Below are 15,547 nucleotides of genomic sequence, written 5' to 3'. Positions count from 1 at the left end.
TTGAACATTACTTGGACTCCAGCACAGGGAAGCTTGTTCTCTCAGGTGAGCAGTGAATTTTTTTTTTTTTTTTGCTTTCATGGGGATTCAACAGTGCCCCTCAACAGCACTACTGGACACCCTTCTTCAGAGTTGCCATCACCACATATATCCTCTGAGACACCATCTGAATCTCATCAGCACCCCTGAGAGGCCAGTATGAGGTGTGAGAACACTGCTTTACCTTTGACTTGCCTTGCCGTGGTTCCTGCTTTTCAAAGAGGGCCCCTGAAAGGCCCAAAATAAAGGGAGGCAATGAGGTCAAGTGCCAGGCTATCTTTTGCTCACATCCACCACTGGGGTCTCAGGTATGAATCTATCACTTAAAGAACCCTCAACAACACACCAGACAATATTCCAATCACCATGGGACCCATTTCTGGCACACAGCCTCTTTTGGGAATGGATTCAGAAGGTTTCCAGTGACCACCTCACAGTCTGGAAACACCTCCTCCTCCAGTAGGACCTGACCAGAGAGATGGCCAGAAAGGGTCTTTAGATTGAGAGTTTTAGGGTCCTGCAGTGGGTTTTCACAGGCAGCATTTTTCTCAATACCGGCCAGCTCTGCCTGTATTATTTTCCTCTGCTTTGGTAGGCTGACAGGTCTGACAGCCAGGTGCCCAAGCCTGCCTGCCTCATGAATGTGCATGCACAAGTCTCAGGGCACCAAGACTGTTACTGAGCTTTAGTGAGCATCCCAATGATTGTCATTGCTGGCTAGTGACAAGTCCCTTCATCTTGGCAGAGAAAAAGACATACATGGAGCTGCGTGGTTGGTGAACTCTCATCTGTCTTCTCTGTGGAATCCACAGGATAGTCCCATGAGCCTATGAGAGGGCAAATGAGAGCCGTCCTGAAGAAACGTCAACCACAGCACGAGGAATAAACCTCAAAATCCCTAAGGATCCAAAAAAATCTGAAGGATAACTTAGGCCTGCCTAGACTTTGTAGGTGTGAGTCTTTTTGAAAGTTGCAGCACTGTGATTTCTAGGAACAGCCCACCTGTATTCCCTGGGGTTGCCTATCCCAGGTTAGCTTCTTGCAGAACCACAAAACCACAGGAGCTGACAAACTGTGTTTCTGAAAGAGTGTTGTGAGAGTTGGATGTTGGCATGGGTGTGTGACATTGTTTTGTGTGTGTGTGTGTGTGTTTGTAAGTGGAGTTTGCTTAAAGAATGTGGCTACTACACTTCAGCGCTTGGTTTTTTTTGAGTCTTGCAAACTTTTGGTGGCCTGTCTGTGTGGCTCTGCTTGGGCTGTGGGGCTCCATGTTATTTATTTTTCTGTGGATCATGAATCCGCAGTGAACTGAGAGGTGGGCTGAGACCTGCCAGTGTCCAAGTCACCTGCCACTGCAAAAAAAAAAAAAAAAAAGCCACCCTTCTAGAATGAAGAGGAGCACACCACACCAAAAAACGGGCATACCACGAATTCAGTTTCACTGCTGAGCAGGTTCTTCAGGTCATGAGAGGGCACTCCTCCATCATCTGGGCATTCATCCCAGGACATACAGTATGAGCAGGAATAAGGTCAGATAGGAGTGAGGATACAATCTGGTGATGGGTGGAGGGAGCCCCAGAACTTCATCTGAAAAAAAAAATGAAGACAGATGACACAGAAGGTGATTCCAACTCCATCCCCTCATTCCCTTAATTGCGGAAGTAGTCCACACCATAACTCAGCTTCAGATTGGAGCACAGCAACGTGCAAGGAACATTTTGAGTGCAAATTGGGGACATCCTGGCAAACTTCTGATTTGAAGGATTTCAATCTGAGAGCCAAATGCGACTGGAATGAATTGATGTTGGGTGGGATGTGGCTTCCAAACTTGCCTCTTCTTTTCCTGACTTGCATGTTCCTCATTGACCTGTGGTTTCCTGGGTTTGCCTCAACAACTGTTACACTAAATGTTTCCTAGTTCATGGAGAACAACCTTCATGGAAATCCATTGAGTGAGTGTTTTCTTCTAAACACTTTCACATTTTAATGACTGGGCAGCTTTGATACCTTTAAACGGTAAATTCCCATTACAGCCACCAACAAGGAAACTCTTCTTTTCCCTCTGTTATCAGAGGGCTGAATGATTCCTGTATGATGAGAAGCAGGCAGCCGTGTCTAGATTTAGCCTGGTAATATAGCCTCTGCTTCATTTCATCTGCTCATCCTTCTCTTTGTGGATGGGCTCTTTCATTGGCCTGTTGCTGGATGGGACTGCCTCTTGCCACAGATATTTTCGTTGCCAGGAATTTCAGGAAGAAAAATCGTTGTAGAGTAGACTGGCTGCACGTTGGGTTTTCAATCATTATCTTGTGGGAGCTGAGGTTGTTTGCATTTTGAAAGAGGCTTCTTCTTTCTGTGACAGGAATATGGAAATGTTGCTTGGACCCCAGCACAAGTCAGCTCTTTCTTTCAGGTGATGCTTGATGTTTCTTGGCTTTCATGGGGGATTCACATTGCCCCTCAACCACACTACTGGATACACTTTTCAGGATTGCAATCTCCACAGGTGGCCTCTGAGACACTGTCTGAACCTCATCTGCACCTGTGAGAGACCAGTTCGAGGTCTGAGAACATTGCTTCAATTTGGACGTGCCTTTGTCATGGTTCCTGCTTTTCCCAGATAGCACCTGAGCAACCCAGAATGAAGGAATGCAGTGAGGTCAAGGCCAGGCCATCTTTCACTGACAACTTTTTTCTGGTATTTCAAGTAAGAGCCCATCACCCAAAGAACCCTCAACATCTCACCGTAATATATTCCAATCCCCATGGGACAGGATTCTTGCACAAAGCCTCTTTCAGGAATGGAGTCAGAAGAGTAGTTTCCAGTGACAACCTCACAGTCTTGAAATGGCTCTGCCTCCAGTGTGACCTGACCATGGAGACAGCGTATAAGGGCCCTAAGGTTGAGACTTTTAGGATCCTGCAATGGGTTATCACAGGCAGCCTTTTTCCTGATACCAGGCCAACTCTGTGTGTACCATTTTCCTCTGCTTAGGCAGGCTGACAGCCCTGACACCCTGGTGCTCTAATTTGAGTCACTAATGTGGATGTGCTAGTCTTAGGGCAATGGGCCTGAGCTGCGAGCTCTGGCTAGCATTACAATGAATGCCACCTTTGCCTAGTGACAATTCTCTTTGGCTTGATGGAGAAGGAGATCTCTGTGGAGGTGCATCGGCAGTAGACTCTCACCTGTCTTCTCCGTGGGATCCATGGGCTAGTCCCATGATCCTAGGAGAGGGCAGATGTGAGCCTGCCTGAAGAAATGTCAAGCAGAGCCCCAGGAATAAAGCACAAAATCCGTACAGATCCAAAAGGATCTGCAGAATTCTTCAGGCCTGCCTAGACATTGTAGCAGTTTGTCTTATTGAAATGTGTCCCACTGTAATTTCTAAGTTTAGCCTTCCTTTGTTTTCCAAGCTTTCTCTCTCCCAGGAGGGGCTTCCTGCAGAATGAAGCAGCCTCAGAAGCTACTGGGCTGTGTGTTACTGCGGGAGTATTGCAAGTGTTGGATGTCTGCATGTGTGTGTGGCTTTATGTGTTTATGTGTGTGTGTCTGTGTGTGTGCATGTAAGTGAATTCGGCTTAAAGGAATGTAACTAACACACTGCAGTGCTTTTTTATTTTTTATTCTCCCAACCTTTTGGTGGCCTGTCTGTGTGTCTCTGCTTGGACTGTGGTGCTCCCTGTTCTTTATTTTTCTGTGGATCATGAATCAGCAATGACTAGTTAAGCAGTCTGTGACAAGCTGGGTTCCCCATTATCTGCCCCTGAAAAAAAAAGGCACTCCTCTAGAAAGAAGAGGAGAGCATCACACCCAAGAACAGATAGCTCCCAATGTTTCACTATAATGCAGCCAACCCAGAGACAGTAGCACTCTGGTCCCCATAACCTCTTGAATTTACCCAGAATTCAGTTTCCAGCCAAGAAGGTGCTTCATGTCCTGTGGGTGCACTCCTCCATCAACTTGAGATTTCATGCTGGAACAGAGAGTGTGACAGCAATAAAGTCAGATACGGGTGAGGACACAATCTGGTAAGGTTTGGATGGGGTTCTGCAACTCCATCTGCAAAAAACTATGAATACAGGCGACACAAAAGGAGCTTTCAATTCCATTTCCGTCACTTTAATTGCACAAGCAGTCCTCACCATGGCCCAGTATTCAGGTGGGAGTATTCCAAAGCAAAAGAACTATTTGGAGTGCAAATTTGGGCCATCCTGGAAAACTCCTGATTTGAGGGCTTTCTTACCTGGAGTCAAATGGGAATGGAATGGATTGATGCTGGGTGGGATGTGGCCTCCAGACTTGCCTCTTCTTTTCATGACTTTCATGTTTCTCATTGGCATATGGTTTCCTGGGTCTGGCTCAATGACTTCCATACTAAACATTTCCCAGTTAACTAAGAACAAGCCCCATAAGAATCCATTGCGTGAATGTTTCCTTCTATACACTATCATGTTTTAAATACTGGGGAGATTTGATACTTTTAAAAACATAAATGCCCATTACTGCCAACAGTAAGGAAACTCTTGTTCTCCCACTTCTATCGAGGGCTACAGGATTCCTGTAGGATGAGAAGCAGGCAGCCATTTCTGGCTTTTGCCTGGTAATCTAGCTTCTGTTTTATTTCTTCTGCATGGCTGTCCCATTATGGAGGGGCTAATTCATTGGGCTGTTGCTGGATGGAATGGCTTCTTGCCACAGATTATTTAGCTGCCAGAGATTTCTGAGAGCCAAAGGGACTTCAGGTGGGTTGGCTGAGATCCAGGTTATGTGTCGTTGTCTTGCTGTGGGTGTTGAGGTTGTTTGCACTTTGTCGGAGGCTTTTGGGTCCTCTGAAATGAGTCATTGAACACTGCTTGGACTCCAGCACAAGGCAGCTCATTCTTTCAGGTGAGAGTTGATTTTTCTTTGCTTTCATGCGGAATCCACAGTGCTCCTCAACAATAGTACTGGACACCCTTTTCAGATTTGCCATAACCAGAAACAGCCTCTGAGACTCTGTCTCAACGTCATCTGCACCCGTGAGAGGCCAGTCCCAGGTGTCAGAACACTGCTTTACTTTGGACTTGCCTTTGTCGTGGTTCCTGCCTTTCACAGAGAGCCCCTGCAAAGACCAGGATGAAGGGAGGCCGTGAGGTCAAGAAAACAGCCATCTTTCACTGACACCTGCATCTGAGTTCTCAACAACACGCCACACAATATTCCAATCCCCATGTGAGCTGATTCTTGCACACAACCTCTTTTGAAAATGGATTCAGAAGGGCAGTTTACAGAACTAACTCACAGTCTTGAAACACCTCCCCCTCCAGAGAAACCTGAAAATGGGGATGGCCAAAAGGGGCCCTGAGGTTGAGACTCTTAATGTCCCAGAGTGGATTTTCTCAAGCAGCCTTTTTCATGATACCAAACTGGCTCTGCCTGTACCCTTTTTCTGCTAAGGCAGGCTGACAGCTCTGACAGAAGAGTTCCCAAACTGACCTCACAAATATGCATACACTTGTCTCAGGGCACCAGGCCTGATTGTGAGCTTTGGCTAGTGTCACATTAAATGTCATCGTTGCCTAGTGACAAGTCCCTGCTGCTTGGCTGAGAAAGAGGCCTCTGTGAAGGTGCATCAGTGGTGTACTCTTGCCTGTCTTCACTGTGGGATCCATGGGATAGTCCCAAGATCCTAAGAGAGGACAGGCATGAGCCAGTCTGAAAAACTTCAAGCACAGCCCAAGGAATAAACTGTGAAATCCCCAAAGATCCAAAAGCATTTGCAGGATTTATCAGGTCCATGAAATTGTTGTAGAAATGAGTCTCCTAGAAACTGCCCCACTGTGATAACTAGTACAGCCCCCATTTTTTCCCCAGGATTGCAGTCTCCCAGGTAGGGCTTCATGAAGAACCATGCAGCCTCTAGAGCTGCCAGGCTGTGTGTTTCTGTGGGAGTGTTGCAAATGTTGGATGTGTGGGTGTGTGTGTCTGTGTGTGTTTGTGTGTGTGTGTGCCCATAAGTGGAGCCACCTTAAAGGAATGGGGCTAACACACTTCAGTGCTTCTTTTTTTTTTTTGTTTTTTAGATTCCTATCTTTTCTTGGCCTGTCTATGTGGCTCTGCTGGAGCTGCAGGGCTCCATGTTCTTTATTTTTCTGTTGATCATGAATCCTTAGTGAATTGGGAGGTGGCCTGAGACCCCCCAGCATCCAAATTACCTCCCCCTGAAAAAAAAGGCCCTCTCTAGAAAGATGAGGAGCACACCACACACACAAAAAACGAACATATCCCAGTGTTTTATCATCCTGTGGCCAACCAAGGGGGAGACACTAGCAGTCCTGTCTGCAGGGCACCTTGAATTTACCTTGAATTCGATCACGTGCTTCATGTCATGAAGGGGTCCACTTCCATTGTCTTGGGATTTTATCCTGTGACATAGAATGTGAGCAGAAATAAGGTCAGATGCGGTGAGTATAAAACCTGCTGAGGGGTGGATGGAGTCCCACAACTTAACCTGCAAAAATAAAAAGGAAGACAGATGACACAGAAGGTGCTTCCAACACCATCCCCGCATTCCCTTAATTGCACCAGCTGTCCACACCATGACCTGGTTTCTGGTGCAAGTACTCCAACCTACCAGGAACTTTTGGTATGTAAATTAGGGCCATTCTGACAAACTCCTTATATGAGGGCTTTCATATCCAGAGCCAAATGGGAGCGGAATGCATTGGTGCTCTGTGTGATGTGGCCCCTAGATTTGCCTCTTCTTTTCCTGACTTCCATGTTCATCATTGGCCTAGCATTTTCTATGACTGGCTCAAGAATTTCCACACTAAACATTACCCAGTTCAAAGAGAGCAACCCTCATGGGAATCCATTGCAGGAGTGTTTCCTTCTCACAGTCACATTTTAATGACTGGGAATCTTAGACACTTTTAAAACTATAAATTCTCATTACAGCCACCAACAAGAAAACTCTTGTTCTCCCTCTTCCATTGGAGGGCTGCATGATTTCTGAAGAATGAAAATCAGGCAGCCATGTCTGGCTTTTGTCTGGTAATCTAGCCTTTGTTTCGTCTCATCTGCACCACCTTCTCATTGTGGAAGTGTTTTTTTATTGGGCTGCTGCTGTATTGGGCTGCCTCTCATCACAAATTATTTAGCTGCCAGGGATTTCATAAAGCAAAAAGGTCTTTGGGCAGGCTGGCTGCGCTGCAGGTTTGGGTCGTTATCTCATTGTGGTGACTGAGGTTGTTTGCACTTTGCAGCAGGGTTTTGGGTCCTCTGACAGGAAATATTGAACATTTCTTGGGCTCCAGCACAAGGCAGCCCATTCTCTCAGGCCAGTATTGATTTTCATTTGCTTTCATTTTGAATCCATAGTTTCCCTCAATAGCACCACTGGACAGTTTTGTCAGGCTTGCCATCACCACAGGCAACCTCTGAGACACGGTCTCAATTTTATCTGCATCCATGAGAGGCCAGCCCAAAGTACTGCTCCACATTGGACTTGGCTTTGTTATGGTTCCTTCATTTCCCAAAGAACTATTAAAAGACCCAGGATGAAGGGAGACAGTGAGGTCAAGAATCCGGCCATCTTTCATTGATAGCTGCCTCTGGGGTTTAAGTATGATTCTATCACCCAAACAACCCTCAACAACACACTGACAACACACTGGACTAGATTCCATTCCCCATGGTATTCGATTCTGGCACACAGCCTTCTATGGGAATGAAGCTGGAAGAGCAGTTTCCAGTGACAACCTCACAGTTTTGAAACACCTCCTCCTCCAGCAGGACCTGACCACAGAAGATGCCTGAAGGGGCCCTGAGGCTGAGAGTTTTGGAGTCCTGAAGTGGTTTTTGACAAGCAACATTTTTCCTGATGGTAGGCCAGCTCTGCCTCTACCATTTTTCTCTGCTTAGGAAGGCTGACAGTTCTGAGAGCTGGGTGCCTGAGCCTACTTCACAAATGCACATACACTAGTCTCCAGGCCAGATTGTGAGCTCTAGCTAGCATCACAAAGAATGTCACCATTGCCTAGAGACAAGTACCTTCCTCTTGGCAGAGAAGGAGACCTTTGTAGAGGTTCGTCAATGGTGGACTGTTGCCTGTCTTCTCTGTGGAATCCGCAGGATAGTCCCATGATCCTAGGAGATTTCAGATGAGAGCCAGAGTCAGGAAACATAAGCACAGCCCCAGGAATAAACCACAAAATGTTTAGGAATCCAAAGGGATCTGCAGGATACCTTAGGGCTGCCTAGACCTTGTAGGTGTGAGTGAGTCTTCTTGAAACTTGCCCCACTGTGATTTCTAGTTACAGCCCGCCTGTGTTCCCCAGGCTTGCTCTATGCCAGATGTGGCTTCCTGCAGAACCACACAGCCTCAGGAGCTGCCAGACTGTGTGTTTCTGTGGGAATGTTGGGAGTGTTGGAAGTCTACGTGTGTGTCACATCGTGATTTTGTGTGTGTGTGTGCTCTTGTAAGTGCAGGCTTCTTAAAGAAATGTGGCTACCACACTTCACCACTGTAGGGAGACCCCATGAAACTATTACTACAGAATAAAAGATGAAATGACCTGATTATTGTAAATACAAAGTTGCATGCAGGATTGTGTAAAGACAATGCCAGATTGGACTGCCAGAATGAGCCAACAGCACGTGATGTGCTTCCCCCTGCAGAGACCCTATGAATGGACATGCAGTCAGGTTTCACATCACCAAGACTCCTGTCCCAGAAAAGCAGATGTCCGTAGCTCTGGGAATGGAATGCAATCCTCATAGAGAGCCTATAAATGGACACATGGGGGGCGCCTGTCCATATGGATAAGATAAGGCTATAAATGCCCTCATCTTGCCACGGCTCTTCTAGGCCTCTTTAGGGTTAAGGCATACTCCTTTCTGAGAATTTCTGGTCTAACTGGTTGTCTAGCTTCACATCTTGTTTCCATGGATTGTTTGTAACCAGCTTTGTTGCAATTGTTACTGCTGATTAATATCTTGCTAATCATAGGTTATGGAAAGACTGTGTTTCTGTTCTAAGGCTCTGTTAGAAATTACTGATGCACACACTATATTGTAAATTCTTATCTCTCTGTATACTGTACTTCTACATAAAAAATGTACTGTACTTGTACATACAAATGCTATGTTAAAGAATTACTTCATCCCCATGTGACCATCTCACCTTATAATGAAATGACCCTAAATCCCTCACTAACCTACACCTGCCCTCACTACACTTAATAATAAATGCTGGTATATCCAGTGCATTGTTGGCACCACAGGACCAGAAAGCGGTGACCCCCCTGGACCCAGCTTTCACTATCTTGTGTGTGTCTATTATTTCTCAACCTGCCAATCCACCTAGGAACAAAGAGAGAACTCCATTGCATTGTGGGCTTCTGGCCAGATCCTGCAATACAACGCTTCTTTTTTTGTGCCTCCAAACCTTTTGTTTGACCTTTATGTGTGCTCTGCTTGGCCTGTGGGGCTCCATGTTTTTGAATTTTCTGGTTATCATGAATCCACAGTGAATTGGGAGGCAGGCTGAGACCTGCTGGTGTCCAAATCCCTCCCCCTGCAAAAATAAATAAATAAATTAATTAATAAACATAAAATAAAAATAAAAATCCACTCTGCTAGAAAGAAGAAGAGCACACCACACCCAAAAAATGGACACCTGCTACCGTTTCATTGTCCTGCATCCAACCCAGGGAGAGGAACTAGCAGTCCTGTCTGCAGGTCCCCTTGAGTTGACCATGAATTCAGTTTCCAGCTATGCAGGTGTTTTGTGTTATGAAGGGGCACTTCTCCATCATCTTGGGTTTTCATCCTGGGACACTGAGTATAAGAAGGAATAAGGTGAGATTGGAGTGAGGATATGATTTGATGAGAAGTGGAAGGGATCCCACAACTTCACCTGCAATAAAAATGAAGACAAATGACACAGGAGGTGCTTCTAACCCCATGCTCACGTTTCATTAATTGCACAAGCAATCCACACCATGGCCCAATGTTCAGGTGGAAGTTCTGCAATGTGCAAGGAGTATTGGGAGTGCCAATTGGGACCATGCTGGCAAGCTCTTGATTTGAGGCCTTTCCTACACGGAGCCAAAAGGGAGTGGAATGTTCTGATGTTGGGTGGGATGTGGTCTCCACATTTGCCTCTTCTTTTCCTGACTTCCATGTCCCTTGTCAGCCTAGGGTTTCCTGGGTCTGGCTTAACAAATTCCACAGTAAACATTTCCCAGCTCATGAAGAACGACCCTCATTAGAATCCATTGCGTGAGTGGTTCTTTCTAAACACTGTCACATTTTAATGATTGCACAGCTTTAATATTTTTAAAACTGTAAATTTGTGTTATAGCCACCAAAACAGAAACTCCTGTTCTCCCACTTGTATCAGAAAGCTGCATGATTTCTGAAGGATGAGAAGCAGGCAAACATGTCTAGATTTTGCCTGATAATCTAGCTTGTTTTATTTCATCTGCATGGCCTTCTCATTGTGGAGGCGCTCTTTCAGTGGGCTCTTCCTGGATGGGAATCCCTCTCACTACAGTTGAATTAGCTGCCAGGGATTTTAGAGAGTGAAAGGGAATTCATGTAGGCTGGATGGGTTCCGCATTGTGGTTGTTGTCTCGTTGGCAAGGCTGAGGTTGTTTGCAATTTGCAGGAGGATTTTGGGTCCTCAGACAGGAATCACTGAACATTGCTTGTACTCCAGCACAAGGCAGCTTGTTCTCTCATTTGAGCCTAGATTTTTCTTTGCTTTCATGGGGAATCCACAGTGCCCCTCAACAGCACTACTGCACATACTATTCGGACTTGTCATCGCTACAGATGGCATTTGAGACACTGTCTCAACGTCATCTGCAGCAGTGAGAGGCCTGTCTGATGTGTAAGAACAGGTCAAGTGCCCGGCCATCTTTTGCTGACAACTGCCTCTGGGGTCTCAAGTATGATTCTTTTACCCAAAAATCCCTCAACGAAGTCAGATTCTATCACCCAAAAACCCCTCAACAGCACACCAGACTATAAAACGATTTCCATGGGACCCAATTCTGGCACACATCCTCTTTTGGGAATGGAGTAAGAAGAGTAGTTTCCAGAAACCACCTCACAGTCTCAAAACGCCTTCTCCTCCAGTGAGACCCAACCACAGAGACAGACAAAGGGGCCCTGAGATGGAGGCTTTTTGGGTCCAGCAATGGTTTTTCACAGGCTGCTTTTTTCCTGATACCAGGCAGATTCTGCCTGTACCATTTTCCTTGGTTAGGCAGGCTGACTGATCTGACAGCCAGGTGCCTGAGCTTACCTCCAGAATGTGCATGCACTAGTTTCAGGGCACCAGGCCTGATTGTGAGCTTTTTTGAGCATCACAATGAATGTTATCATTGCCTAGCGACAAGGCCCTGTGACTTGGCAGAAAAAGGAGACATTCATGGGGATGCATGCAAAGTGGACTCCTGCTATTTTTCTCTGTGGGATCTACGACATAGTCCCATGATCCTAGGATAGGGCAGAAGTGGATTCCTCAGGCCTACCTAAGAATTGTAGGGGTGTCTTTTTGAAACTTGCCCCACTATGATTTCTAGTTAGAGCCCAGCTGTGTTGTCCATGGTTGCTCTATACCATGTGGGGCTTCCTACAGAACCATGCAGCTTCAGGAGTTGCCAGGATGTATGTTTCTGTGGCAGTGTTGCAAATGTTGGAAGTCTGCATGTGTGTAGCATTGTGTGTTTGTGTGTGTGTGTGTGTGTGTCTGTAAGTGGAGTCTTCTTAAAGGAATGTGGCTATCACACTGTAGCATTTTTTTTTTTGAGTCTCCAGAACTTTCGGTGGTCTGTCTCTGCTGCTTTACTTGGGATGCATGTTCTTTATTTTTCTGTGGGTCATTAATCTGCAGTTAATTGAGATGCTGGCTGTGACACACCAGGGTCCAAGTCCCCTCCCGCTGAAAAAATGTCACTTTTCAAGACAGAATAGGAGGAAACCACACCTAAGAACAGACATCACAAAGTTTTTCATTGTTATGCGGCCATCTCAGGAAGAGACAGTTGCAGTGCTGTTCACAAGGCCCTTTGGATTTACCTCGAATTTGTTTCCCAGGAGAGCAGGTTCTACATGTCATGAAGGGCAACTCCTCCATCATTTCAGGATTTTTTTTCTGGAACAGAGAGTGTGAACAGCAATAAGGACAGATACAGGTGAGGATACAATCTGCTGAGGGGTGGATGGGGTCCCACACCTTAGCCTACAAAAAAGTTGAAGACAGATGACACAGAAGGTGTTTCCAACTACATCCCCGAATTCCCTTAATTGCACAAGCAGTCCACACCATCCCTGTTGTTCAGGTGGGAGTACTCCAATATTCAGGGAATATTTGGAGTGCAAACTGGGGCCATTCTGACAAAGTCCTGATTTGAGGGCTTTTATATCTGAAGCGTAATGGGAGGGCGACGGATAGATGCTGGGTGGGATGTGGCCTCCACACTTGCCTCTTGTTTTCTTGACTTCCGTGTTCCTGGTCAGCATAGGGTTTCCTTGGTCTGGGTCAATGTCTTCCAAACTAAACACTTCCGAGTTCATGGAGGACGACACTCACGGGAATCCACTGAGTGAATATTTCCTTCTAAACAATATCAAGTTTTAATGACTGGAGAGTTGTAATAATTTTAGAACTGTAAACTCCCATTGCAGAAGCCAGCAAGGAAACTGTTGTTCTCCCACTTCTATCAGAGGGCTGCACAGTTCCTCTAGGATGAGAAGCAGGCAGCCATTTCTGTCTTTTGCCTGGTAAACTAGACTCTGTTTCATTTCATCTATATGTCCTTTCTCATTGTGGAGGGGATCTTTCATTGGCCTGTTTCTGGATGGGAGTGCCTCTCAGCACAAATCTTTTGGCTGCCAGGGATTTCTGAAAGCAAAAGGGAATTTGGGTAGGCTGGCTGTGCTCCAGCTTGTGGGTCATGGTCTCGTTGTTGCAGCTGATGCTGTTTGCAATTTGCAGGAGGCTTTACCGTCCTGTGACAGAAATCTTTGAATGTTGCTTGGACTCCAGCACAAGTCATGTGGTTCTCTCAAGAGGGCCTTGATTTTTCTTTACTTTCATCATGGGTCCACATTGCCCCTCAACAGCACTACTGGAAACCCCTTTTAGGCTTGCAATCATCACAGACGGGCTCTGAAACACTGTCTCAACCTCATCTGAATCCTTTAGGGGTCAGCTGGAGGTGAGAGAACACTGCTCTGCCTTGGACTTGCTTTTTTCATGGTCCCTTCCTTTCCCAGAGATCCCCTGCAAGGCCCAGCATGAAGGGAGGCAGTGAGGTCAAGAGCCCAGCCATCTTTTGCTGACACCCACCTCTGGTCTCTCATGTATGATTCCACCACCCAAAGAGCCCTCAACAACTCACCAGACTATAGTCTAATCTCCATCTGACCCGACTGTTGCACACAGCCTCTTTTGGGAATGGAGTCAGAGTAGCATTTCCAAAGACCACCTTATAGTCTCAAATCACCTCCTTCTCCAGCAGGACCTGAGCAGAGGGATGACCCAAAGGGACACTATGGTCGAGACTTTTATGGTCCCACTCTGGGTTATTGCAGGCAGCATTTTTTTCAATACCATGCCGTCTCTTCATGTATTTTTTTTTTCTTTTTTTTCGCTTAGGCTGGCTGACAGTTCTGACAGCCCGTCGCCCAAGTCTGCATACTCTTAGGCACAAGGACTGAGCTATGGGCTCGGGTTAGCATCACAACGAAGGCCACCATTGCCTAGGCATAAGTCTCTGCGGCTTTGCGGAGAAGAACTCTGTGGAGGTTAGTCAGTGGTGGACTCTCGCCTCATTTCTCTGTGGGATTCCCGTGATAGTCCCATGAGGCTAGGAGAGGGAGGAGGTGAGCCAGCCTGAAGAAAAGTCAAGCACAGCCCCAGGAATAAGCCGCAAAACTCCTACAGATCCAAAAGGACCTGGAGGATGCCTAAGGCCTCCCGGACTTTGTCAGGGTGAGTCTTTTTAAAACTGTGATTTGCAGGTACAGGCTGCCTGTATTCCCCGGGGTTGCTCTTTCAAAGACAGGGCCAGTTTGGGATTGGGAGGGATTGATGCTGGTGGCATGTGGCCTCCACACTTTCATCTTCAGGGCCAAGGCCCTGGTAATCTGTCACTGATATGCACTTGTGGGGTCTCAGGTATGATTCCATCACGCAAAGACGTCTCAACAATCGCCAGACTATTTTCCAATACCCATGGGACCTGATTCCTGCACACAGCCTCTTTTAGGAGTGGAGTCAGAAGAGCACTTTCCAGCAACCACCTCACAGTATCAAAACGCCTCCTCCTCCAGAGGAAATTACCCGGAGATGGCCCAAAGGTGCCCTAAGCTCAAAATTTTAGAGTTCTACAGTGAATTATCGCAGGCAACATTATTTCTGACACCTGGTCGGCTGTGTCTGTACCATTTTCCTGTTTAGGCAGGCTGACATCTCCTAGAGCTGGGCACAACCACCTGCCTCACAAATGGACATGTGCTAGTATCAGGGCAACAGGCATGAGATGTGAACTATGGCTAGCATTACAATCAATGCTGACATTGACTAGCAACAAGTCTCTATGGCTTGGCGGAAAAGGAGAATTTCATGGAGGGGCATTGGCATTGGACTCTCACCTATCATCTCTGTAGGATTCATGGGATAGTCCCGTGATCCCAGGAGAGGGCAGATGTGAGCCAGGCTGAAATAACATCAAGCAGAGCCAGGAATAAGCCCTGAAATCCATAAGGATCTAAAAAGATCTGCAGAATGCCTTAGGTCTGCTTAGATATTGTAGGGGTGAGTCTTTTGGAAAATTGTCCTACTGTGATTCCTAGGTACAGCCTGTTTTCCATATAGTTGCTCTCTCCCAGGTGGGGCTCCCTGCAGACCCACACAACCCAGGAACTGCTGGGCTGGGTGTTGCTGTGGGAGCACTGAGAATGCTGGATATCTGTGTGTGTGCGTGTGTGTGTGTGGCTTCCTGTGTCTGTGTATTTGTGTGTGTGTGTACCTGTAAGTGGAGTCTGCTTAAAAAAATATGGCTAACGCACTGTGGTGCTTCATTTTTCAAGTCTCCCAACATTTTGGTGGCCTGTCGGTGTCGTTATGCTTTGGTTGCAGGGCTCTATGTTCTCTGTTTTTCTGTGGATAATGAATCCATTGTGATTTGGGAGGCTGGCAGAGGTCCAAATCACCTTTCCCTGGAAAAACAGTCTCTCTTTTAGAAAGAAGAGGAGCACACCACATTCAACAACAGACATCTCCCAGTGTTTTTTAATCCTGCGGCCAACCCAGTGATAGACACTAGTATTGTCCACAGGGCTCCTTGAATTTACCTCGAATTCGGTTCTGAGCGGGTGCTTCACCTTGTACGGAGGCACTAATCCATCATCTTGGGGTTTCACTTTGGGTCAGAGAGTGTGAGCAGCAATGAGGTCAGATAGGGTTGAGGATACAATCTGTTGAGGGGTTGATGGGGTCCCACGCCT

At 46.5% G+C, this 15,547-nt stretch overlaps 1 long non-coding RNA gene across 1 annotated transcript in view; it reads left to right on the top strand.

Moving 5' to 3' along the window:
* The window catches only part of LOC102725532 (uncharacterized), a 45,849-nt gene that overhangs the window by 27,761 nt on the left and 2,541 nt on the right, over positions 1-15,547 (top strand). The window contains exons 8-9 of the long non-coding RNA XR_001756092.1: positions 12,139-12,228; positions 13,695-14,030. This is a non-coding gene — a long non-coding RNA (uncharacterized LOC102725532). The remainder of the gene's footprint in view (positions 1-12,138; positions 12,229-13,694; positions 14,031-15,547) is intronic.

This window comes from Homo sapiens, chromosome Y (genome assembly GCF_000001405.40).
Source record: "Homo sapiens chromosome Y, GRCh38.p14 Primary Assembly".
NCBI lineage: Eukaryota > Metazoa > Chordata > Mammalia > Primates > Hominidae > Homo > Homo sapiens.
Note: the sequence above shows the minus strand (reverse complement) of the source record. Positions and strands in the feature narration are given on the sequence as shown.